Raw genomic sequence first — 24,088 nt, forward strand, 5'->3', positions numbered from 1 at the left:
TTACAATCCAGTATCTCTTTTAAAGTGAGAAGCTTAGATGGAAGATCCCTAGCACCTTTTAAAATTAGACATTCTGGCTGGGCGCAGTGGCTCACACCTGTAATCCCAGCACTTTGGGAGGCTGAGGCGGGTGGATCGCCTGAAGTCAGGCATTCGAGACCAGTCTGGCCAACATGGAGAAACCCTGTCTCTACTAAAAAAAAATACACAAAAATTAGGCATTCTGTGATTTTCAGTTGTGAAAGCCTCTGAAATGAAGGTGTCAAGTAAAAATGATTAGAGCAGTTAGAGAGAGAAACAAGTCAGCCTACAGTGGCTGTGTCTTCTTGGACCTCCATCTTCTTTTGAAGAATCTTGGAGAAAGTGAGAATAGCTCCCTTTCTTCACAAAGCCGAATGACTTCAGCAAACCCAAATGTCTCCTAATTTTAAGGATTTGGTTGACATGTGTATTTTAGGTACAAAGAATATTAAGTTACTTCTGCAACAATTGAGCACTAACTCTTCTATATGTTTGTAAGAACGACCAGGGCTCAGGTAAGGTAATTTCTAGAATGGCTTTTAGGGTCCTTTCTGTGTGATGGCTCCTGCAGATATTATGTGCCTTTAAATGGGTAACATTGCCTCTTTAACTAAAATTAGATCAGTGTTTCCTAACTGGGGTCAATTTTGGCTCTGGGGGATATTTGGCAATATCTGGAGGCATTTTTGGTTGTCACATCTGGGAGTGGGGTGGAGAAACAGTGTGCTACTGGCATCTAGAGTGTAGGGGCCCGGGTTGCTGCTGAACACTGCACCCTAAAATGCACAGGATAACCTCCAGAATAAAGAAATATCCAGTCCCAGATGTCAATAGTGTCATGGTTGAGAAAGCCTAGACTAGACAGTGCATGGGAAAGATAATGACATGTGTACCCTTACTTTGGTCCACATGCAATCTCATTTTTTAAAGTCAGAAACCTGTGTAATGACAACTGAATGAGCTTAGAAAATATATTGCTAAGAAGCTTTTTAAACTAGCAAGATAATTTAGGTTTAATGAGCCCTACTACCTTCATAAATATCTCTCCAAAAACTTTATTTTAAAAATATAAATTGAGTTATGAACCTCATCTGGTTAGAAAACTTTAATGGATTGCTCTCAGGAAAGATGCAGACTCCTTAAGTGGCCCACAAAGCTCTGCATGACCTGGTCCTGACTTCCTCGGCAGCCTTCTCTCAGGACTCCATGTTTGCTGTTCTCCCGCCACTCTAGCCTGTCAACTGCTTAAATGCACAAAGCTCTTTCCTGCTCTGGCCTCTACCCACAGTCTTCCCTTCGTCCCTCTGCTTAGAACATTTTTTCTCAGCCACAGGATCTATCCCTGCACCGACTTGTCCTTAGCTCAAATGTTGGCATCTTTGCAAATGTTTTACTGAAGCTCTACCCTAATCCAAATTAGAACCTTTGCTTTGTTTTCTGCATTTTATAATACTCATCACATTTCTAATCATGTCTTTTTGTGTGTTTATGTGTTCATGTTTGGTTCCCTCTCTGGTTTTATGACCCATGAGGAGACAAAGTGTACAATACTTTTTAAAAATTTTTTAATTTTTAATTTTTCCATAAGTTATTCCAGTACAGGTGGTATTTGGTTACATGAGTAAGCTCCTTAGTGGTGATTTGTGAGATTTTGGTGCATACATCACCTAAGCAGCATACACTGCACCGTATTTGTTGTCTTCTATATCTTGCCACCCTCCCACTCATCCCCCAAAGTGCCCAAAGTCCGTTGCATCATTCTTATGCCTTTGCATCCCCATACTTAGCTCCCACACATCAAGAACATATTATGTTTTGTTTTCCATTCCCGAGTTACTTCACTTAGAATAATAGTCTCCAATCTCATCCAGGTCACTGCAAATGCTATTAATTCATTCCTTTTTATGGAAGTGTAGTATTCCATTTTATATATATATATATATATATATATATATATATAAATTCCATTACATATATAATATATATGGCTTTTATTACATATATGTGTGTGTGTGTGTATATGTGTGTGTGTGTGTGTGTGTATATATATATATATATATATATATATATATATATATAACTTTCTTTACTCTTTGTCCACTCATTGATTGATGGGCATTTGGGTTGGTTCCACGATTTTGCAGTGGTGAATTGTGCTGCTATAGACATGCATGTGCAAGTATCTTTTTCGAATAATGACTTATTTTCCTCTGGGTAGATACCCAGAAATGGGATTGTTGGATCAAATGGTAATTCTACTTTTAGTTCTTTAAGGAATCTCCACACTGCTATCCATAGTGGCTGTACTAGTTTACATTTCCACCAGCACTGTAGAAGTTGTCCCTGTTCACCAAATCCACACCAGCATCTACTGTTTTTTGATTCTTTTATTATGGCCATTCTTACGAGAGTAAGGTGGTATTGCATTGTGGTTTTGATTTACATTTCCCTGGTCATTAGTGATGTTTAGCATTTTTTCAGATGTTTGTTGGCCATTTATGTATCTTCTTTTGAGAATTGTCTGTTCATGTCCTTAGCTCACTTTTTGATGGGATTTTTGTTTCCTCTTACTGATTTGTTTGAGTTGGTTGTTGATTCTGGATATTAGTCCTTTGTCAGATGTATAGATTGCGAAGATTCTTCCACTCTGTGGGTTGTCTATTTACTCTGCTAACTGTTCCTTTTGCTGTGCAAAAGTTCTTTGGTTTAATTAGGTCCCAGCTATTTATCTTTGTTTTATTGTATTTGCTTTTGGGTTCTAGGTCATGAAATCCTTGTCTAAGCCAATGTCTGGAAGAGTTTTTCCAGTGTTATCTTCTAGAATTTTTATAGTTTCAGGTCTTAGGTTTAAGTATTTAATCCATCTTGAGTTGATTTTTATATAAGGTGAGAGATGAGCGTCCAGTTTCATTCTCCTACATGTAGCTAGCCAATTATCCCAGCAGCATTTGTTGAAAGGGGTGCCCTTTCCCCACTTTATGTTTTTGTTTGTTTTGTCGAAGATCAGATGGCTCTAAGTATTTGGGTTTATTTCTTGATTCTCTCTTCTGTTCCATTGGTCTATGTGCCTATTTTTGTACGAATACCATGCTGTTTTGGTGACTATGGCCTTATAGTGTACTTTGAAATCAGGTAGTGTAATGCCTCCAGATTTGTTCTTTTTGCTTAGTCTTGCTTTGGCTATACAGGCTCTTTTTTGGTTCCATGTGAATTTTAGAATTGTTTTTTCTAATTCTGTGAAAAATGATCGTGGTATTTCGATGGCGATTGCATTGAATTTGTAGATTGCTTTTGGCAGTATGGTTATTTTCACAATATTGATTCTACGCATCCATGAGCATGGGATGTGTTTCCATTTGTTTGTGTCATCGATGATTTCTCGGAAGTGTTTTGTAGTTTTCCTTGTAGAGGTCTTTTGACTCCTTGGTTCAGTGTATTCCTAAGTATTTTATTTTAGTTTTTGCACTTACTGTAACAGGGGTTGAGTTCTTGATTTGATTCTCTGCTTGGTCACTGTTGGTCTATAGAAGAGCTACCGATTTGTGTACATTAATCTTATATCTGGAAGATTTGCTGAATTCTTTTATCAGTTCTAGGAGCTTTCTGGAGGAGCCCTTAGGGTTTTCAAGGTAAACGTCATATCATCAGCAAACAGTAACAGTTTGACTTACCCTTTACCCAGTACTATGTTGAAGAGGAGTGGTGAGATTGGGCATCCTTGCCTTTTTCCAGTTCTCATAGGGAATGCTTTCAACTTTTCCCCATTCAGTATTATGTTGGCTATGGGTTTGTCACAGATGGCTTTTATTACATTAATGTATGTCCCTCATATGCCAATTTTGCAGAGACTTTTATCATAAAGCGATGCTGGATTTTGTCGAATGCTTTTTCTGCATCTATTGAGATGATCATGTGATTTTTGTTTTTAATTCTGTTTATGTGGTATATCATTTATTGACTTGCATATGTTAAACTGTCCCTGCATCCCTGGTATAAAACCCACTTGATTATGGTGGATTATTGTTTTGATATGTTGTTGGATTCGTTTAGCTAGTATTTTGTTAAGGATTTTAGCATCTGTGTTCATCAAGGATATCAGTCTGTAATTCTCTTTTTTGGTTATGTCCTTTCCTGATTTTGGTATTAGGGTGATGCTTGCTTCATAAAATGAATAGGGAGGGTTCCTTCTTTCTCTATATTGTGGAATAGTGTCAAAAGGATTGGTACCAATTCTTCTTTGAATGTCTGGTAGGATTCTGCTGTGAATCCATCTGGTCCTGGATTTTTTTGTTGGTAATTTTTAAATTACCATTTCAATCTCGCTGCTTGTTCAGGGTATCTAATTCTTCCTGACGTAAGCCAGGAGGGTTGTATTTTTCCATGAATTTATCCATTTCTTCTAGGTTTTCTAGTTTATGTGCATAAAGGTGTTCATAGTAGCGTTGAATGATCTTTTGTATTTCAGTGGTGTCTGTTGTAATATCTCCTGTTTTGTTTCTTAGTAAGGTTATTTGGATATTCTCTCTTCTTTTCTTGGTTAATCTTGCCAATTGTCTATCAATTTTATTTATCTTTTCAACGAACCAGCTTTTGTTTCATTTATCTTTTGTATTTTTTTATTCAAATTTCATTTAGTTCTGCTCTGATCTTGATTATTTCCTTTCTTCTGCTGGGTTTCAGTTTGGTTTGTTCCTGTTTCTCTAGTTCCTTGAGTTGTGACCTTAGAGTGTCAGTTTATACTCTTTCAGTCTTTTTGATGTAAGTGTTTATGGGTAAAAACTTTCCTCTTAGCACTGCCTTTGCTGTATCCAGAGGTTTTGATAAGTTGTGTCATTATTGTCGTTCAGTTCAAAGGATTTTTAAATTTCCATCTTGATTTCACTTTTGACCCAATGCTCATTCAGGAGCAGGTTATTTAATTTCCATGTATTTTCATGGTTTTGAAGGTTCCTTTTGGAGTTGGTTTCCAGTTTTGTTCCACTGTGGTCTGAGAGAGTGCTTGATATAATTTCAATTTTCTTAAACTTATTGAGGCTTGTATATGGCCTATCATATGGTCTATCTTTGAGAAAGTTCCATGCACTGTTGAATAGAATGTGTATTTTGTGGCTGTAGGATGAAATGTTTTATATATATCTGTTAAATCCATTTGTTCCAAGGTATAATTTAAATCCATTCTTTGTTGACTTTCTGTCCTGATGACCTGTCTAGTGCTGTCAGGGGAGTATTGAAGTCCCCCACTATTATTGTGTTGCTGTCTATCTCATTGCTTAGGTCTATTAGTAATTGTTTTATACATTTGGGAGCTCTAGTGTCAGGTGCATATATGTCTAGGATTGTGATATTTTCCTGTTGAACAAGGCCTTTTACAATTATATAATGTCCCTCTTTGTCTCTTTTAACTGCTGTTGCTTTAAAGTTTGTTTGGTCTCATATAAGAATAGCTATGCCTGCTCACTTTTGGTGTTCATATGCATGAAATATTTTTTCCACCCCTTTACTTTAAGTTTATGTGAGTACTTATGTGCTAGGCAAGTTTCCTGAAGGCAGCAGATAGTTGTTTGGTGAGTTCTTATCCATTCTGTGGTTCTATATCTATTAAGTGGAGCATTTAGGCCATTTACATTCAATGTTAGTATTGACATGTTAGGTACCATTGCATTCATCATGCTCTTTGTTGCCTCTGTACTTTGTTTTTTTGTTTTTTGTTTTTTGTTTTTTAACTTGTATTTTTGTTTTATAGGTCCTGTGTGATTTATGCTTTAAAGAATTTCTGTTTTGATGTGTTTCTAGGATTTGTTTCAAGATTCAGGGCTCCTTTTAGTAGTTCTTGTAGTGGTGGCTTGGTAGTGGCAAATAATCTCAACATTTGTTTGTCTGAAAATCTTCCCTTCACATATGATGATTAGTTTCTCTGGATACAAAATTCTTGGCTGATAATTGTTTTGTTTGAGGAGACTGAAGATAGGTCCCTAATACATTCTAGCTTGTAGAGTTTCTGCTGAGAAATCTACTGTTAATCTGATAGGTTTTCCTTTATAGGTTACCTGGTGCTTCTGTCTCACAGCTCTTAAGATTCTTTCCTTCATCTTAACTTTGGATAACCTGATGACAATGTGCCTATGCAAACATCTTTTTGTGATGAATTTCCCAGGTGTTTTTGTGCTTCTTGTGTTTTGATGTCTAGGTCTCTAGCAAGGCCGGGGAAGTTGTAGTCGGTTATTCCCCCAAATATATTTTCCAAGTTTTTAGAAATTTCATTTCTCAGGAACACTGATTATTCTTAGGTTTGGTTGCTTAACCGAAATCCAAGACTTCTTGGAGGGTTTGTTCATATTTTCTTGTTCTTTTTTCTTTGTCTTTGTTAGATTGGGTTAATTTGAAGACCTTGTCTTTGAGCTCTGAATTTCTTTCTTCTACTTGTTCAATTCTATTGCTGAGACTTTCCAGAACATTTCACACTTCTACAGGTGTGTCCAAAGTTTCCTGAATTTTTGATTGTTTTTTATTTAAGCTATCTATTGCCTTGAATATGTCTCCTGTCACTTATTGTATCATAGTTTGGATTTCCTTGCATTGGACTTCACCTTTCTCTGGTCCCTCCCTGATTAGCTTAATAACTAACCTCTTGAATTATTTTTCAGGTAGATTGGGGATTTCTTCTTGGTTTGGATCCATTGCTGGTGAACTAGTGTGATTTTTTTGGGGGTAGAAGAGCCTCAATTTGTCATATTATCAGGGTTGCTTTTCTGGTTCCTTCTCATTTGGGTAGGCTATGTCAGAGGGAAGGTCTGGAGCTGAAGGCTGTTGTTCAGATTCTTTTATCCCACAGAGTGTTCCCTTGATGTAGTACTCTCCTCCTTTTCCTACAAATGTGGCTTCCTGTGAGCCAAACTGCAGTGATTGTTGTCTCACTTCTGGGTCTAGCCACCCAGTGAGTCTACCTCGCTCTAGGCTGGGGGCTGTCTGCACAGAGTCCTGTGATGTGAACCATCTATGGGTCTCTCAGCCATGGATACCAGTGCTTGCTCCCATGGAAGTGGCAGGAGGTGCAATGGACTCCATGAGGGTTCTTAGCTTTGGTGGTTTAATGTTCTATTTTTGTTCTGGTTGGCCTCCTGCCAGGCAGTGGCACTTTCAAGAGAGCATCAGCTGTGGTATTATGGGGAAGAACCAGTGGTGGGCGGGACCCTAGAACTCCCAAGATTATATGCCTTTTGTCTTTCACTACCAAGGTGGGTAGGGAAGGACCATCAGGTGGGGGCAGGGCTAGGTGTATCTGAGCTCAGACTTTCCTTGGCTGGTCTTGCTGCAGCTGCTTTAGGGGATGGGGGTGAGATTCCCAGGTCACTGGAGTTGTGTACCTAGGAGGATTATGGCTGCCTCTGCTGATTCATGCAGGTTGTCAGGGAAGTAGGGGAAAGCCAGCAGTCACAGGCCTCATCCAGCTTCCATGCAAACCGAAGGGCTGGTCTCACTTCCCGGTGCCCACCCAACAGCCCCTAGACCTTTTCCAGGTGGAGAGCCACAGGGGCTTGAAAACCTGCCCCAGGCTATCTGCCTCCCAGCTGGGAAAGAAAAGGGGCTTGGTTCTTCCCATGCCTGTGGAGTCTGCACTCTGGATTTGCGCCTTCCTCTGAGTTACTGCCAGAAGGCTTCTCACTCTATTCAAATGGTTACAAAACTCAGCTAGAGATTTGCTTCTTCCTGTGTGGTTTTACCCCCTGCTTCTCTCCCATTGGATCCCTGTGGTGCCAGGCAGGAATGGCCTGCTAGGGGACCCAGCGAGATCCCCGGGTCTTTCTGCTGCTTCCTCTACCACTGTATTTCGCATGGCTTCCAAATGTACTCAGCTCCAGGTAAAGTCAGAAACTTCTCCTGCAAACAGACTTTCAGCTTCTCCAGTGGGGGTGTGTGTTTGAGAGGAGGGTCTCCCTTTCCCACTTCCGCAGTTGGCGCACTTACAGTTTTGCGGGGGTGTCTCCTGTGTCCTGCAGGAGCAGTCTGCTTCCTTCAGAGGGTCTGTGGGTCCTCTCAGGATTGCTGGTTTTTTCTTGCTGTTGATATGGAGTTAAAATTCACAATGCGAGCTGCCTGCTGCTCTGTCCGGAGCTTCAATCTAGCCCTGCCTCCGTCTGCCACCGCCATGATCTCTCCTCTAATCCAAAGTGTAAAATACTTTTTAAAACTTACCAAAAAGTATGTATTACCTAATTTGTTCCTATATATTTATTGGGGCAACAAGTGTAAGATATTTATTTTCTATTGTGTTATATTGTGGTAAGAACAGATAATATAAGATCCATCCTCTCCACATATTTTTAAGTGTATAGTACAATATTCTTAGCCATAAACAGTGTTGAACAACAGACCTCAAGAACTTATTCTGATGATGATTATTGCAGTGCTTACCTTTATTGTCTAATAATGTCTGCACAGAGTAGGTCCTCCACAAATCTTTGTTCAAGAAATACAAGAAAATGCCTTTGATCCTCAGAGTCATAGAAGAGGATGATGCCTCGGCCTTTTTTCTGTTCTCTCAATCCCCAAGTATATACCCACAATATACTACAGCATCTAGGACAGGAAGTTTCTATGTCAGGTACAAGGTACATATGTTCTTAACGGGACTCCATCTTTTCTCTGAGGCAGAAGATAGACAACTGTCCAAAAGCATTTATTCAGTGCTGTGTGCTGTAGGACTTAAGGCTGTTGCTGCTGTCTTGTGATACAGCTACCTCCAATGAAAGGTGCTGCTTCTCTCTGAAATAGGAAGGAGAAAAGAAGCAAGGCAACTCTTTCCCAAAGTTTAGGATTAGAATAGCAAAACATCTCTTTTTGAAGTATGAGCTAGGTAGAAAAAAGTGGTTCCTAAATGTTGTACACCTTTCAATTGATCTTAAATAGGAAGATCCTATGAGTACCAAGGACCATGTAAGTTTAGGGTTTTGATGCAACGAAAAACTCAGGACCTCAAGAAATTGTCTAATCTGTGCACTTCTGTCTTGAGGCAAGTACAGTCTTATGGACACTGACAGACAGACTAACCTAACTAGCATCATAATAGTCTGACGGCTAGTAGACTGATCTGCTTTACTGTTTATCATCAGCACATCAGCTTTCTGTTCCAAAGAACTGGGACTGAGTTGGTATACTTAGTTCTTTTGAATAAAGTGATAAAGATATGTTTTCTTTTTTTATGTCTCTGAACATCTGACCTACATTTTATCTTTTTGTTATGAAGTAGAACATTTTATTCTACTTCAGGTTTATTTTGAGGGGAGATTATGTCTCTATGTGCTATATGAACGTCAGTTTTTATTGGATCGACATGTAATGAAATATATTTTCATGGTGAACATCCTTTTATATATTTCAGTTCAGATACAGCTTAATTTTATAAAATGAATAAACTAAATCAATAAAGAGAGGGAAAATCATTTTTAGCATTATAATTCCTTCTGTTTGAAGTTAGAGACAAGGTTATCTTCAGGACTTTAGTTCTCCAATCCAATAAGTTAGAAATGGTCTTTTTTAAATTAAAAAATGACTAATGTTTGATGTGATTTTAAATATTAACTCTTGTTAAAATGCTTATGCTTTGTTTTCGTTCAAGTCTTAAACATATAATGTTTTGGATCCAGATCATGTGTTTTACACACTGGTTATTACCTAATGAATAAAAACAATGATGTCTGATTCTAAGATGGTCTCTCCCTTATTGATGACAAGAAAAATCTTCTCAGTAATCTTATATTGTCCATTGAGATAAATATGTAGGGTATAATTTCACTGGTCACACGAATTATTTAAAGCATGACATGAATTAGTAAACGTGTATTTTGTCATCAGCATCATCAGCGCCATCACTTTGTACACCGTTATTGTCATAATTACCACTGTTGTCATTGCCAAGAAGTTTTCCTTTTCTTTTTTCTCATCTTCCTCCTCCAGGTCACAAAAATCATGCTATCAAGTTTTGCCAAAAAAATCCTTAATATCTACTTTAAGAAGCAGTTAGTAACAGAAAACATTGTTTTATAAATTGATGTGTTCTGCTGAAAAATTTTAAAAGACATGTTCCCTTAAATAGCTAATGCATAAACTCTCTGTACTAGTTTTCTGTTGCTGTTAGTACCACAAACTCTGTGGCTTAAAACAACATATACCTATTGTCTCACAGTTTCTGTGAATTAGGAGTCCAAGTGCTGGTTACCTGAGCCCTTTTTTTTTTGGGTCGTATGAAATTGTAATCAAGGTGTTGGTGGGCCATGATATCATCAAAGGCCAGGGATCCTTTTCCAAGCTTGTTCAGGTTGTTGGCAGAATCCAGGTCCTTGCAACTATAGAACTGAGGCCGCATTTTCTTTCTTTTTTTTTTTTTTTGTTTGTTTGAGATGGAGTCTCGCTCTGTCGCCCAGGCTGGAGTGCAGTGATGCTATCTCGGCTCACTGCAAGCTCCTCCTCCCCAGTTCACGCCATTCTCCTGCCTCTGCCTCCCGAGTAGCTGGGACTACAGGCACCCACCACCACGCCTGGCTAATTTTTTGTCTTTTTAGTAGAGACGGGGTTTCACCATGTTAGCCAGGACGGTCTCAATCTCCTGACCTCGTGATCCGCCCGCCTTGGCCTCCCAAAGTGCTGGGATTACAGGTGTGAGCCACCGCGCCCAGCCTGAGGCCGCATTTTCTTGTTGGCTACTTGGGAACTACTCTCAGCTCTTCGAGCTTACCTGTTGTCCCTTGCCCTCTCCATAACACAGAAGTTTGTTTCACCAAGGCCAGCTAGAGAAACTCTCTCAGGTTCAAATATCTTCATAGTCTTTTATAAGCACTCACCTGATGAGGTCAGGCCCATCCAGGATAATCTCTTTCAATTAAGTCAAAACTGGCTGACTAGTAACCTACTCATTAGTGTGAAATCCCATCACATTCACAAGTCCTGCCCACAATCAAGGAAAAGGAATCAGACAGGGTGTGATTCCTGAATCATACCAGAGTTTGGAAATCTTGGGAGCCATCTTTTAGTCTAGCACACTCTCTAACGTGCCTATTAATTTTTTCAGCTCTTTCCTATAGACTTTGCTGTCTAACATGATAGGAGCCACGTGTCTATTTCCATTGAAATTAAATAAAATTTAAAATTCATTTTCCTAGCTGTACTAGGCATGGTTCAAGTACTGAACAGTCAATGAGACTAGCGGCTGTCATGCTGCACAATGCAATTATAGATTATCAACCTTCACAGGAAGTTGTGTTTGGGACTAAAGTGATAACAATTTGTATGGATTACCACTTCTATGTAACATAATTTTATTGTATTAACTCAGCAGACTAAAAATGAAAATTTTAGACTGTGCAGGCAGGCAAGAGGGGAAAATTTTTAAATAGTATTTTGATATGTGTTCAGTCACACCACAGAGGTGGTATTTTTTAGTCTACTCATAGAGCAGCCTCAGGAAGTCTCCTGCTATTGTTTCTGGTTTCTGCTGTGGCTAATTGTAATGAAAGAATAATTCTGTCACCACAAAAAGTCTTGTTGGACAGTGCTTCATAGAAGATCATTAAAAAGGTAGACTATCATCTAATGTGCAGCTACAACAGTTTTACGCAATGGAACATTCTCTGATGATGAAATCTATATCTATGCTGCCCTATATGGTAAGCATTAGCTACAGGTCGCTATCAAAGCACTGGAAATGTGGCTAGTGAGGGATTAAATTCTTAATTTAATTTTAATTATAAATTAATGATTTAAAATTTTAAATAGATAAAATAGATGTGCCTAGTGGTACATACATTGGGTAGCACAGATCTAGGCTATGACACATTTTCAATTATTGGAGTCCTGCTACTTTGACATTGGCTCATAAATAAAATCTGAGCGCTTTTAGGTTGGTGGTAGGGAAATGGTTGGGTAGATTAGGAAGAGAATGTAATTCTCTTAACGTTTCATTATGTTTTAGACAATTTTGAAAGTCCAAGGAAAGAGGTTGAAAAGTAAAATCTCCTAGTTTTAGATCTTATTTTATATTCAAGTTAGTGTTTCATCTGTAGCAATTTGTCTGCCTTTAGAATGTTACAGCTTTATTCAGCTGGAAGAAATTTTCTTACAATGTTTTCTCCTCACGTTGACTTGCCTTTTGCTTTGTTACATTTAATTATATCCCCCCTTAAGGAAGATGGGAGGGAAAACATCAAGTAAACATGTTCGAATGCAGAACTTGTTCTTCCCCAAAAGGTATAGTTTGTAACCTAATAAATACAACCACATTGTGATTCAATTAACAAGTGATAGCAACAAAGAAAATAGTAAATCTGTGATTTATTTTAATGTGATGAAAATGGCAGATCTCTTTCAGATGAGAATTTAAAGTGAAGCAAAATCAAATTTAGCCCAGTGTTTCATTTCTAGATGTGCTGAAGTGCTGTCACAAAAACACACACTGCCTATCTCCATGGAATGTACCACCTATTGTTAGGAATGAAAATTTCCATCATCCTAATATGTTTAGGTATCATTTCCAGATGCTCAACTTCTCAGGAACTGGACCATACGTTGAAGCTGTGTGACACTCATAATGATAACTCTCTCCATACTAACAACAATACGCAAACTCCAAGGCAAAAATTCTAGTTAGACACAGACATTTCATAGTTGAGTTTCACTGTAGCTAGAGTTTGGCATTTCACCTATATATAGTCTGAAAAAAGAGAAGTCTCTGAAGTACTTCTGTTTGTGATGGGAGTCAGAGGGCGGGGGCTGATCTACTTTTCTTGTTTGTTTATGGGGCAGGATGCCACAAGTCAAATGAAGTATAACGACCATGGATTACTAGGGAAGAAGGAAGCACAGAACTTGGTTCCATATGCACTATATATATTAGAGAACGCCAGTTTGGGCATTGTCTTGGATAGTAAGTTCCAGTTACTAACCAGAACTACAAAGAGAATGAACAGAAGCCCTGAAGAGTTCTATACTTCCCCTCATACCCAATAGCTAAGAAACATTTCCACCTACCATCCTTTCCGTGTCTTCATGTCTTATATCTTTTCCTTGGAGCTACAGGGTAATAAATATTGGAGGATGCTAATGCACAGCAGGATAATGATGCTTTGAAATACCACCTAGAGATTCTTTCCTGGTAATTATTATTTTTTTCTTTCTGTCTTTCAAGAAACATTCCACCTCTCAGGCTGTGAAGCTAAGACTTACTGCCATTGAAAATGAGAAGAAGAGACTAGTAGAGACAGCTGAGACCAAACACTTTAATTGAGTCAACAGAAGGATTCAATTTAAACCTCCAACAAACAGAATGGCTGTAAGACAAGTTGCATTTGATTGGCAAGAACCAAACACTTGATGTGTCTGGAATTGGTAGCTTCTTGGTCTCACTGACTTCAAAAATGAAGCCACGGGCTCTTGCGGTGAGTGTTACAGTTCTTAAGGGTGGCGTGTCCGGAGTTTTTTCCTTCTGATGTTCAGCTGTGTTCAGTTTCTTCCTTCTGGTGGGTTCGTGGTCTCGCTGGCTCAGGAGTGAAGCTGCAGACCTCTGTGGTGAGTGTTACACCTCTTAAGGTGGCGCGTGTGGAGTTGTTCGCTCCTCCTGGTGGGTTTCTGGTTTCACTGGCTTCAGGAGTGAAGCTGCAGACCTTCGCCGCGAGTGTTACAACTCATAAAGGCAGCGTGGACCCAAAGAGTGAAAGAACAAACCTTCCACTAGTGTGGAAGGGGACCCGAGTGGGTTGCCACTGCTGTCTGGGGCAGCCTGCTTTTATTCTCTTATCTGGCCCCCGCCCACATCCTGCTGATTTGTCCATTTTACAGAGAGTTGATTGGTCTGTTTTACAGAGAGCTGATTGGTCTGTTTTGACAGGGTGCTGATTGGTGCGTTTACAATCCCTGCGCTAGACACAAAAGTTCTCCACCTCCCTGCTAGATTAGCTAGATACAGATGTCGACTGGTGTATTTACAAACCCTGAGCTAGACACAGAGTGCTGATTTGTGCATTTACAAACCTTGATCTAGATACAGAGTGCCGACTGGTGCATCCACAATCCCTTAGCTAGACATAAAGATTCTGCAAGTCTCCACCAGATTAACTAGATACAGAGTGCCAATTGGTGCATCCACAAACCCTGAGCTAGACACAGGGTGCTGATTGGTGTGTTTACAAACCTTGAGCTAGATAAAGAGTGCTGATTGGTGTGTTTACAAACCTTGAGCTAGATACAGAGTGCTGATTGGTGTATTTACAATCTCTTAGCTAGACATAAAGGTTCTCCAAGTCCCAACCCAATTAACTAGATACAGAGTGCCAATTGGTGCATTCACAAACCCTGACCTAGACACAGGGTGCTGATTGGTATGTTTACAAACCTTGAGCTAGATACAGAGTGCCGATTGGTGCATTCACAATCCCTTAGCTAGACATAAAGGTTCTCCAAGTCCCCACTAGACTCAGGAGCCCAGCTGGCTTCACCCAGTGGATCCTGCACCAGGGCCGCAGGTGGAGCTGCCTGCCAGTCCCGCACCTTTCACCTGCACTCCTCAGCCCCAGTGGGCCAGCACTACTGGGGGACCCGGCTCACCCTCCGCAGCTGCTGGCCCGGGTGCTAAGCCCCTCATTCCCTTTGGCAGGTGGGGCCGGCGGGCCGGCTGGCTGCTCCAAGTGAGGGGCCTGCGGAGCCCACACCCACCTGGAACTCGTGCAGGCCCGCAAGCGCCGCAGGCAGCCCCAGTTCCTGCCTGTGCCTCTCCCTCCACACCTCCCTGCAAGCGGACGGAGCCAGCTCGGGCCTCGGCCAGCCCAGAGAAGGGCTCACACGGTGCAGTGGTGGGCTGAAGGGCTCCTCAAGTGCGGCCAGAATGGGCGCCGAGGCCAAGGAGGCATTGAGAGTGAGTGAGGGCTGCGAGGGCTGTCAGCGTGCTGTCACCTCTCACTGAGAGAAAAATGGCTTTAGATTTGACTTATATTGGCAGTGCTTTGTGGAACCACTTAGTGGGAGGATGCAGGTTATGACATGGAGCATTTTTTTACATAGAAGGGAAGATATTAAAACACTTCCTGCCCAGAAGTGAGAAACTTATAGAGGACCTGGAGATGAAAGCAACACATGGAGATGTTAGTACAGTCTATGGTCTAGTCACTTTGCTACCTGGGCCAGAGTTCTTGTTGGTGAAGAAAATAGAGGTCCTGACAGTTTGAGGAATGTGAAAGAGGGTCCTGCACAACCATAGCACTGTAATTTATTTCCTGTGGTTTGTACTGTTTTGGACACTGTATGTGCCTAATTGGAGTAGATTCGATAGCATATGAGAAGAAAGAATTAGTAAGAGTGAATCTTCAGAACTTTTGAAGGGTTTTCTCAAATGCGAGGAAGATATGGCCCAGTATCTGGGAGATGTAGGGGCAATAGATAGTTTTAAAATCATATATTTTTAATTTATTTTTGAAGATGACATGAATAACAGCATGATATATTCTTTTTTAAAAACATTTATTTAAATTGACAAATGAAAATTGCATATATTTATTTTGTTCAACCTGATATTCAGAAATATTTATACATTGTGGAATGCTAAATCCAGATAATTAACATGTGCATTATCTTACTTTTTTTTGGTGGTGAGAACAATTAAAATCTACTCTCTCAGCAATTTTCAAAAATATAATGCATTGTTATTAACTATAGTCACCGTGTTGTATAATAGAACTCTTGAATGTATTTCTTGTATCTAACCAAAATTTTGGATCCTTTGACCAACATCTGTCCATCCCCCTTCTCCAGCCCCTGGTAACCACCATTGTACTCTCTGCCTCTGTGAATGTAACTTTTTAAAATTTCACATATATGTGAGATCAGCATATTATATTCTGGTAATGATTCAATAGAGAGGGGAAAAATTTCCATGTAAGAGAGAGAGGGCTGGGCGCGGTGGCTCACGCCTGTAATCCCAGCACTTTTGGCGGCCAAGGCGGGTGGATTGCTTGAGGTCACGAGTTGGAGACCAGCCTGACCAACATAGTGAAACTCATCTCTACTAAAAATACAAAAATTAGCTGGGCGTAGTGGTGGGCACCTGTAGTCCCAGATACTCGGGAGGCTGAGGCAGGAGAATCGCTTGAACCTGGGAGGCAGAGGTTGCAGTGAGCCAAGATTGTGCCACTGCACTCCAGCCTGGGCAACAACTATGTCTTAAAAAAAAAAAAAAGAGAGAGAGAGAGAGGGAACAAATCATTGAAACAATGTTCCTGAATGAGTGAAAGGGAATAGGAGTGGTACAGAGATTGGCTTTAGCTGGAAATAACAAGAGAAACACTCTCTTGGATAGATTTTATGTTAGGATCAAAAATGCAAGCAAACAGAACATAGCATGGTTTGAGCATTAGAATTATATAAACATAAACATTAAATATTTAGAAAACTACATTTGAGCCAGAAGACATGCCAGTTATGAAACATAAGCTTGACTAGGACTCCTTACCTTGAAGGCATTAGAGTGGCCCAGTGGTTTTCAATTGAAGGTGATGTTTTCTCCATGGCCCAAGGATATTTGCCAATGTCTGGAGACACGTTTAGTTGTTACACCTGGGGGAGATGTTGCTGTCGACATCTAGTGGGTAGAGAACAGGAATGCTGCTAAACATTCTATAATGCAAAAGTCAGCCCCCAACACAAACAATTAACTAGCCTAAAGTGTAAATAGTACAAATATTGAAAAACAGTGACAGGAAAGAGTTTCCCTGACCTCTACTGAAATCTGCTGTAGTTATTAATGGTATAGTTGATTTTGTTTGCCCCTTACAGCCAAAGACAGGGGGAAGAAGAAAAAACTAGCATCAAAGCCAGAGCACTGATGTCTTAACGTGTAGAAGATGCATGGTCATGTGACACATTGCAACACACTGCAGAGAATTCTATCTAAAAGTCTGTAACCTTCGGCTCATCTGTGTTGTTCAGTGGTCACCATAAATACAATTTGTGTTGAAGTGGCTCTCCCAGATTCCAGCCAACCACACTAATCTATCTAAACAAGTTCTATGAGAAACAAATGTCTCCAGGTATGCTGGGTCAGCTGTGAACATTAAAATGGGGTTTAGTGATGAATTAGTTATTGGGGAAAACAAACATATTATAGCGCCATTCTTGAAAATCATACACTTTGATACTTAACACACATCTTAGTTCAAATGAAAGTAATAAAGATGCAGTTTCATAAGTTTTAAAATTATATGGTCACATCCAAAATATCATTAATAATTAACAAAATCTCAGACAAAATAAGGATGTGAAATTGCTTATTTCAGATACAAATGTCACATTATTGGATGCATTTTGTTAGGATTTGAAGTAGATTATTTATGACAGTAGAACCAGGGTAAAGGAAATGGGAACAGCAAAAAGGTTTAAAAGATTAGTAAAATTTAATATTTAGTAATTTGAAAGTTGATGTGAAATATTACTATATTGTGCTTAGGTAAGATTTACTAGAACACTTTGTAAAAATAATCTAAGTACTAGGGCCATTGGGAATGCTGTCTTTCTTTAAAATTTCAAATTCACTGGATTATGGTAACTGAAAGAAGGAATAGACAAACCAGGTAATTCTTGCATCCTAATATTAGCTTTACCTAGTCATGCATAACAACACAGGGAAGCCATATGAAAAAAAATCATGCCTAAAAAATATCAGTCTGAGATAAAGTATGTAAATACATGTTTATTGTAAACCACTTCAAACTATTTTTGAAAGAAGGTAAGGCAAGGCATAAACATACAAATATTTAGTAGCATATGCCTTAATACTGAACAAGGAGTTGTATTTTTCTTACATTCATTTCTTTTTTTCAAACTTATTTTAAAGTGTTTTCTCTAGAATGTCACCTTGGGCTACAAATTAATCTTTAATCTATTTGTCTATATTTGTTGACTTACTACTATATACAGAACATTAACTTGGTCCTGGAGATTGAGTGATGAGTAATGTGCTCTACTTGCTTTAAAGGGCATATAGTCCAGCAGGATACAGAGACACAAGTAAACAGGTAACAATGACATAATGTCATAAGTTCTATGGCAGAGGTAACCATGGGGATGCAATGGAGGGTCAAAGAAGGGAGTACTTAACCAAGTCTTGGGAAGTTTCTGAGAAGGTCAAGTTAGTGGAATTCTAAGCTGGATTCTGAAAGATGAGCTGTAGTTGCCTAGGCAAATGTGGTGTGAGAGAGCAGGAGGACATTTCAGGCAGAGAGTACAGTATGATCGAAGTGTTCAGCGTTGAGATAGACCACGGGTATAGGGAGAAATGTGGATGGTTCAGTATGACAGGAATTAGAGAATGAAAGAGGTCAATGGAATTGCTGAAGATAGAGAAGGAATCAGGGGTCATAGTGCCTTGGGAACTTTATCTTGTGGGTATTGGGGAATCACTAGGATGCATAAGTGGTGGAGTAACTTGATCAGAGTTCCATGTCAGAAAGATGTTTCTGGCTGCAGTGTGGAGAACATCTTAGAGAAGAATAAAGGTGGAGGCAATGAGCCCAGTTAAGGGAGTGTGCTGTAAACCCTGTGGTCTGAGCAAGAGTAACAGACTCTTGATGAGAAGAATGAGGAGATTTTGAAAATAATTAGGTGGTAAAATGGACACAACTTTGTGATATTTATATATGAGAGGTGAGGGAGAATGAGGCATCAAGAGTGCTTCTTCCTATCTCTTTGGTTTAGAAAGTTGGGTTAATGATGATGCTGCTGACTGATGGAGGACATCCCAAAGTTTGTGGGAAAGATGAGGTCTATTGGCTATTGCACATAAAGGCCTACATTGATTACAGTGAGCATAAAGGTGTGTGATGACTGCTCATAATATGTTCTACTCAGGGATTGCCACATTCTCCATTTTTAGGTATCCAAATGTTACTATATTAGGGCACATTTCTGATGAATACTAGTGGGATAACTGAACAAAAACTTATATTTTGTTTTTTTTTTTCTGCTTTTATCTAGAGTCATGCAAACAGTTCCTCTGGCAGCATTTTAGAGGTGTCAACCCAACAATTCTACCACTGTTTTGTCAAGCCAGTTGGCTGAATAATAAGTATATCCTAACTAAATATATATATATATATGCAGAAATAGCCATTAAGTAAAGGATGGGATACTATAATTTCTAACACCTAAGATTGGAAAATAGATATTTTTAAATTAGATTAAGTTGTTAATAAGAAATTATATACTAAGGCTGGGTGCCATGGCTCATACCTGTTATCCCAGGTTTTGGAGGCTGAGGGAGGAGGATCATTTGAGACAGGAGTTTGAGCATAACTTGGGCAACATAGCGAGATCCTGTCTCTACAAGAATTCGAAATTAGCCAGGAATAATGGGCTATGCCTGTAATCCTAGCTACTCAGAAGGCTGAGGAAAGAGCATAGCTTGAGCTTGGAGTTTGAGACTGCAGTGAGCTATGATTGTATAACTGCATTCCAGCCTGGGTGACAGACAGAGATCCTCTCTCTAAAATAAATAAATAAATAAATAAATAAATAAAATCATATAAGAAGAAATATAAACTTAAACTGTGCATTATACAATTCAGTAACTATGCTAGTAAATCTACTCACTGGTAAATATACAATGAACTCATAACATTTATTTCATCTCAGAGTATGAAGAATAAATTAAGAATTATGTGAACCCTATTTACAGCATGTTTTAAAATTGCTTTTCTTGATACATTCAGAATAAATAATTAATAAACTATTTCTTCTCACCCAAAACTAATATACAGTGATATAATGTTATCTTACTTCAAAATAAGTTATTGTTTTTCATTGATAGTTTAGAGTGTCAGATGTTAAGGAGTCATGTGTATTCTCATGCCTTATCTAACAATGCTAAAATTGTCTACCTTAAAATAATAGGAATTATATTTTGTTTTCCCATAGAATTCAGGATTTTAAGAGCACCTGTGACAAGGAGTGTCTTGCTAAAATATTGTTAATAATGGTTATTAAAAAGAAGGAAGAATTCAAAGGAGCTCTTTTCCAGTTACAGATGTGGATTTTTATTTTTCTGTTCTGGTAAACCAAACTACAATTGTCTCCTACAATAGCAAAATGAATAATAAAATCACATTGAAAGTGATTTTAATTTTCCATTATTATCCAGTATAATTAAAATTTCAGAAATAATATTCTTTAAGCACTCTGATGTTTTTCAAATACTCTCTTCTTTAAGTGTTATAGCTCAGAGAAGGGAATGGGCCACTTTTGCAATAACATGCTATGTGCACACTTCTCCCTTTTAAATTTCAATTCAAAGGAAATGTAAAAATCTTCAAACACAGCAGAAATTGTGAATTAATAAGACCTGCAATTAAATCTCTTTTATGGTATAAACTGTGCCTATGCCTTAACAAAACAAGATGTCAGCATTGTGAAGGTCAAAGTTGCTTGGCATCAAATAGATCAAATGCTGAATTGTTTATATACATGTTAGAAAAGTGCACTGCTGTAAAAATATTCTCATAATCTGCAGAATTTGACACTGAAAATAACATTTGCTATTTAATTAAATGTTGAGAAGGCATTTATAGATAGACACCAATAGACAGCAGTTTTCTTGGATTGCATCTGGAACGACCTTTATTCCCCTTTGCAATAATTCTCTCACACCCCAAACACTTGGCAAAGAAGAATGTTTGTCAGTGGATACATTCCTTACAATTTCAGCTTGGCTTTGAACTTTAAGGTGCAAATGAAACTGTTTTTGAGATTTATTTTTCATTAGGTTTTATGATTACTATTTCTCTATTTTATGTTTTCTACTTTTTCCTCACCCTAAATATGGTATCGGTTATAGGTAACAGTTTTTACTCTTGGAAAGAATGGAAAATTACTGGTGGAGAAGAAACCAAGCTATGTTACTCTGACCACAGGAAGCTCCCTTGCTGAAAATATCTCGGTATCTTCCCATTGCTTTGTGGATAAAAATTTAAACTAATTAGCTTTCTTTTTAATCAGCTAGCATTTCCAGCTTTATTAAACTCTTCACACTAGACAAAATGGCTTACTAGATGTTTCTTAGGTACATATTGTACTATCTCTGTTTTGTGTTTATTTTGTTTGATTATATTGTTTGATCCAAAATGACATCTTCCTTTGATTTTTCTTTGTGAGTCCAGATGAAAGGATATTTACATAAAAATAGCCCTCTGCCCCCACCCTCGGCCCCAAATCCAGGACTAATTGCTTGATTCTGCTACATAATTAAGACAGAAATATGCAGAGTGGACTTTTGAGGGAAATCATTACTAGCTTCTTGGAGGCTGTGGTCCCAAGCTCCTGTGAGGAAGCCACACTCCTGGTGAACTACATCAGATCCCACAGGGCCTTCCAGGCTGCCTCTTGCTTTTCGACCTGGGCATTGTTCCTTTTACTCACAACTCTTGGCGCTCTAGATCTTGCAACATATAGGAAAATAAACACATTCATACAGCATCTACCAGAAATGGCATCCCAAGCACCTTGGTCAGTAATATCTGATGATGAACCTTAACATCTGTCAAGGAAGTCATGGGCAAAAAAGGAGAAGATCGAGCTTATCTTATCTGATGAGCATTTGGAGTGTGGCAGTGCTGAGGGTGAAGGTTGAGAGAGGATTTTCACCTTGTTCTCAGAGCTGTTCTTCTTTCATGGGTTTTATAATATCCTCTCCCCAGAATATCTAACTAAACAAAGATTTCCATGGATTAGAAAACAAATTTTGTTTTAGAGGTTGAAGTGAATCACTGATTCACTCTATGTAAACCCAACTTTCCATAAAGCACACCTTTCTGTAAAGGTCATCCTGGCCTCTCCACCCCAGATATGTCTGTCTGAATTTCTGCAGCAATTACTATCTGGGCTCTGGAATCAGACAGCCTAAATGCCCCTGTGGCTTATAGTTCTCATCTATAATATGAAGATAATAGCATCTACCTCAAGAACTGAGTTGAAGATTGAGAATTAAGTTATTAGCAGTTTTTTTTTTTGGCAATTCATGCTGTTGTATATTATTATCTACAACTACCTTAAATTGATTTTAAATTTTATTTTTAAATACATGCATTCAAATAATTGATCTATATATGTTTTGTATACTATGTAGACTATTAAGTATACACTTAGTATATAGAAAATTCCCAACATAATTGAAACTACAATGTATCCTTTTCCTAGTGCATTCCTCTTACTTTCTGCCAGAAATTTTGGTTTTCATAATACATTCATTACATATGTATCCCTAAAAACTATATATTTTTAAAGCTTAACATTTTCAAAGTTTATATAAATGGTACCTTACTATATGTATCCTCCGTTTTTTAAAAACAATTGGTTTTTGTTCCTCAACACTTTGTTTGTGAAGGTCATACATGTTGTTATATACAGCAGTAGCTAATGTATTTTGCTGCTGTAAAATTTTTTATTTTATGAATACTCTACAATTGATCTGATTTCCTACTGGAATATATTTTGGTTTTCTCCAGTTTTTTTTGGTTATATTAACAACACTGCTATGAACATTCTTGTCTCCAATAATTAAATGGTACTTTGAATCTTTGATTACTTAATTTTCCTCTTCCCTTCTTCCCATCCTACCTAGGTTGCAAATGCCCCTTAGAATCTTTATTTCCCTCCATAGTATTTAACATGGTGTCTTGACCACAATAGGTACTCCATAAATACTTGTATATTTGATATAATCAAAATGGATGCATCCTTTGACTAATGTATCAATTATTTTAATTGGTCCTTTTCCATTTTCTATACCATGACATTTATCCTTTTCAGATGCTGTGCTGTCATCTAGCTATTATTCATTGCATTGTAGCCTTTCAGAATATCAATGGTACCTGCATTCATATATAGCATCATGTTCATAGTTAATATAATCTCTTTCAACATTATACACCATCATATACTGAAAAATCTACTTAACCGGTCTGAACTCATTTCTTCTTCTGTAACATTAGTATAAAAATACCTACTTCGTAAGTTTGTTGTAGATATTGAACGTAGTACATTTAGATCTTTAAGCATAGCAAGGGCTCAAAGTACCTATTGTTATTACTATTATTCCCTAACTGATTGATGTGGTTAACTCTAATATCTGCAGCCAGATAGTATGTCCCTAGAGCACAAGAACATTCTTATAATTACACCCATCCATAGGGCCTGTCATAACTCATGTTAGTTGAATTGAACTGAGTAGTCAGTGGTTATTAAATAACCATTGATTGGCTAAATCCCTGCTTAGTAACTCTTCTCTTTCTCTCACTTAACCCTTGAAAGTGATTTGTAGTTTTGTAGAATTGCCAGTTAAGACTGGAGTGGAGTGGGAAGCAGTTAGCTGCAATAAAATGAAGGAGAAATAATAATAAGAAATTGCCTTTGAAGCTGAGACTGAGTAGACAGATTGGGTGGTTACTTCCATGGTATGACTTGACATATATCAAAATACTCATTCCAAAAATGCCACCTTCCATCTGCCTGCCACATTGTCAAAAATCACTACTTTTTAGTCCTCCTTTTGAGTGAAGACAATAAAAGTTTTGTTGACTATATTACATGGAAGTACTTTTTCTTAATATGATGATGTTTCAGAAGGGAGGATATGGAATGGTCAATGGAACTCTTGAGTACCAAGCAAGCTTTGCTAATTTCACAATTTTTCTTAGAGCTGCCTTATTATAATATGGATCCTTTAGAGGGTATTTTCCCTGTGCCACACAGTTTATCAATATTGATATGGTAATATTTTACAAGTATGGAGTTTATAATATCAATTGGAATAATAACATTGTGTCAATATTGTTTATAATATTCATAAACCTTTACAATTTTGATACTATGTCGATATTGCAGATGAGGAAATTGAAACCCAGAAATGTTATTTACCCAGTCTACCCAATCATAGATATCCATACCTAGGAATTTGAATTTAGAGTTCTATAATTCTAACCTTTGCTATACCTTGAAGACTCTCTTGCCTTGGCCTGTGTTTTGCTTAAACCACAGTAATTGG

At 38.3% G+C, this 24,088-nt stretch overlaps 1 long non-coding RNA gene across 3 annotated transcripts in view; it reads right to left on the reverse strand.

Moving 5' to 3' along the window:
• The window catches only part of LNCPOIR (lncRNA periodontal mesenchymal stem cell osteogenesis related), a 68,396-nt gene extending 50,358 nt beyond the window's left edge, over positions 1-18,038 (reverse strand). For 2 of the 3 annotated variants that reach the window (NR_183487.1, NR_183489.1), the window contains exons 1-2: positions 17,962-18,038; positions 16,511-16,639 (exon numbers count right to left, since the gene is read on the reverse strand). This is a non-coding gene — a long non-coding RNA (lncRNA periodontal mesenchymal stem cell osteogenesis related). Of the gene's footprint in view, positions 1-8,433; positions 8,785-16,510; positions 16,640-17,961 lie in introns of all 3 variants that reach the window. The other variant, NR_183488.1, reaches the window with a different exon arrangement.
• Positions 18,039-24,088: the final 6,050 nt, after the last annotated feature.

This window comes from Homo sapiens, chromosome 6, assembly GCF_000001405.40.
Source record: "Homo sapiens chromosome 6, GRCh38.p14 Primary Assembly".
Taxonomy (NCBI): Eukaryota; Metazoa; Chordata; class Mammalia; order Primates; family Hominidae; genus Homo; species Homo sapiens.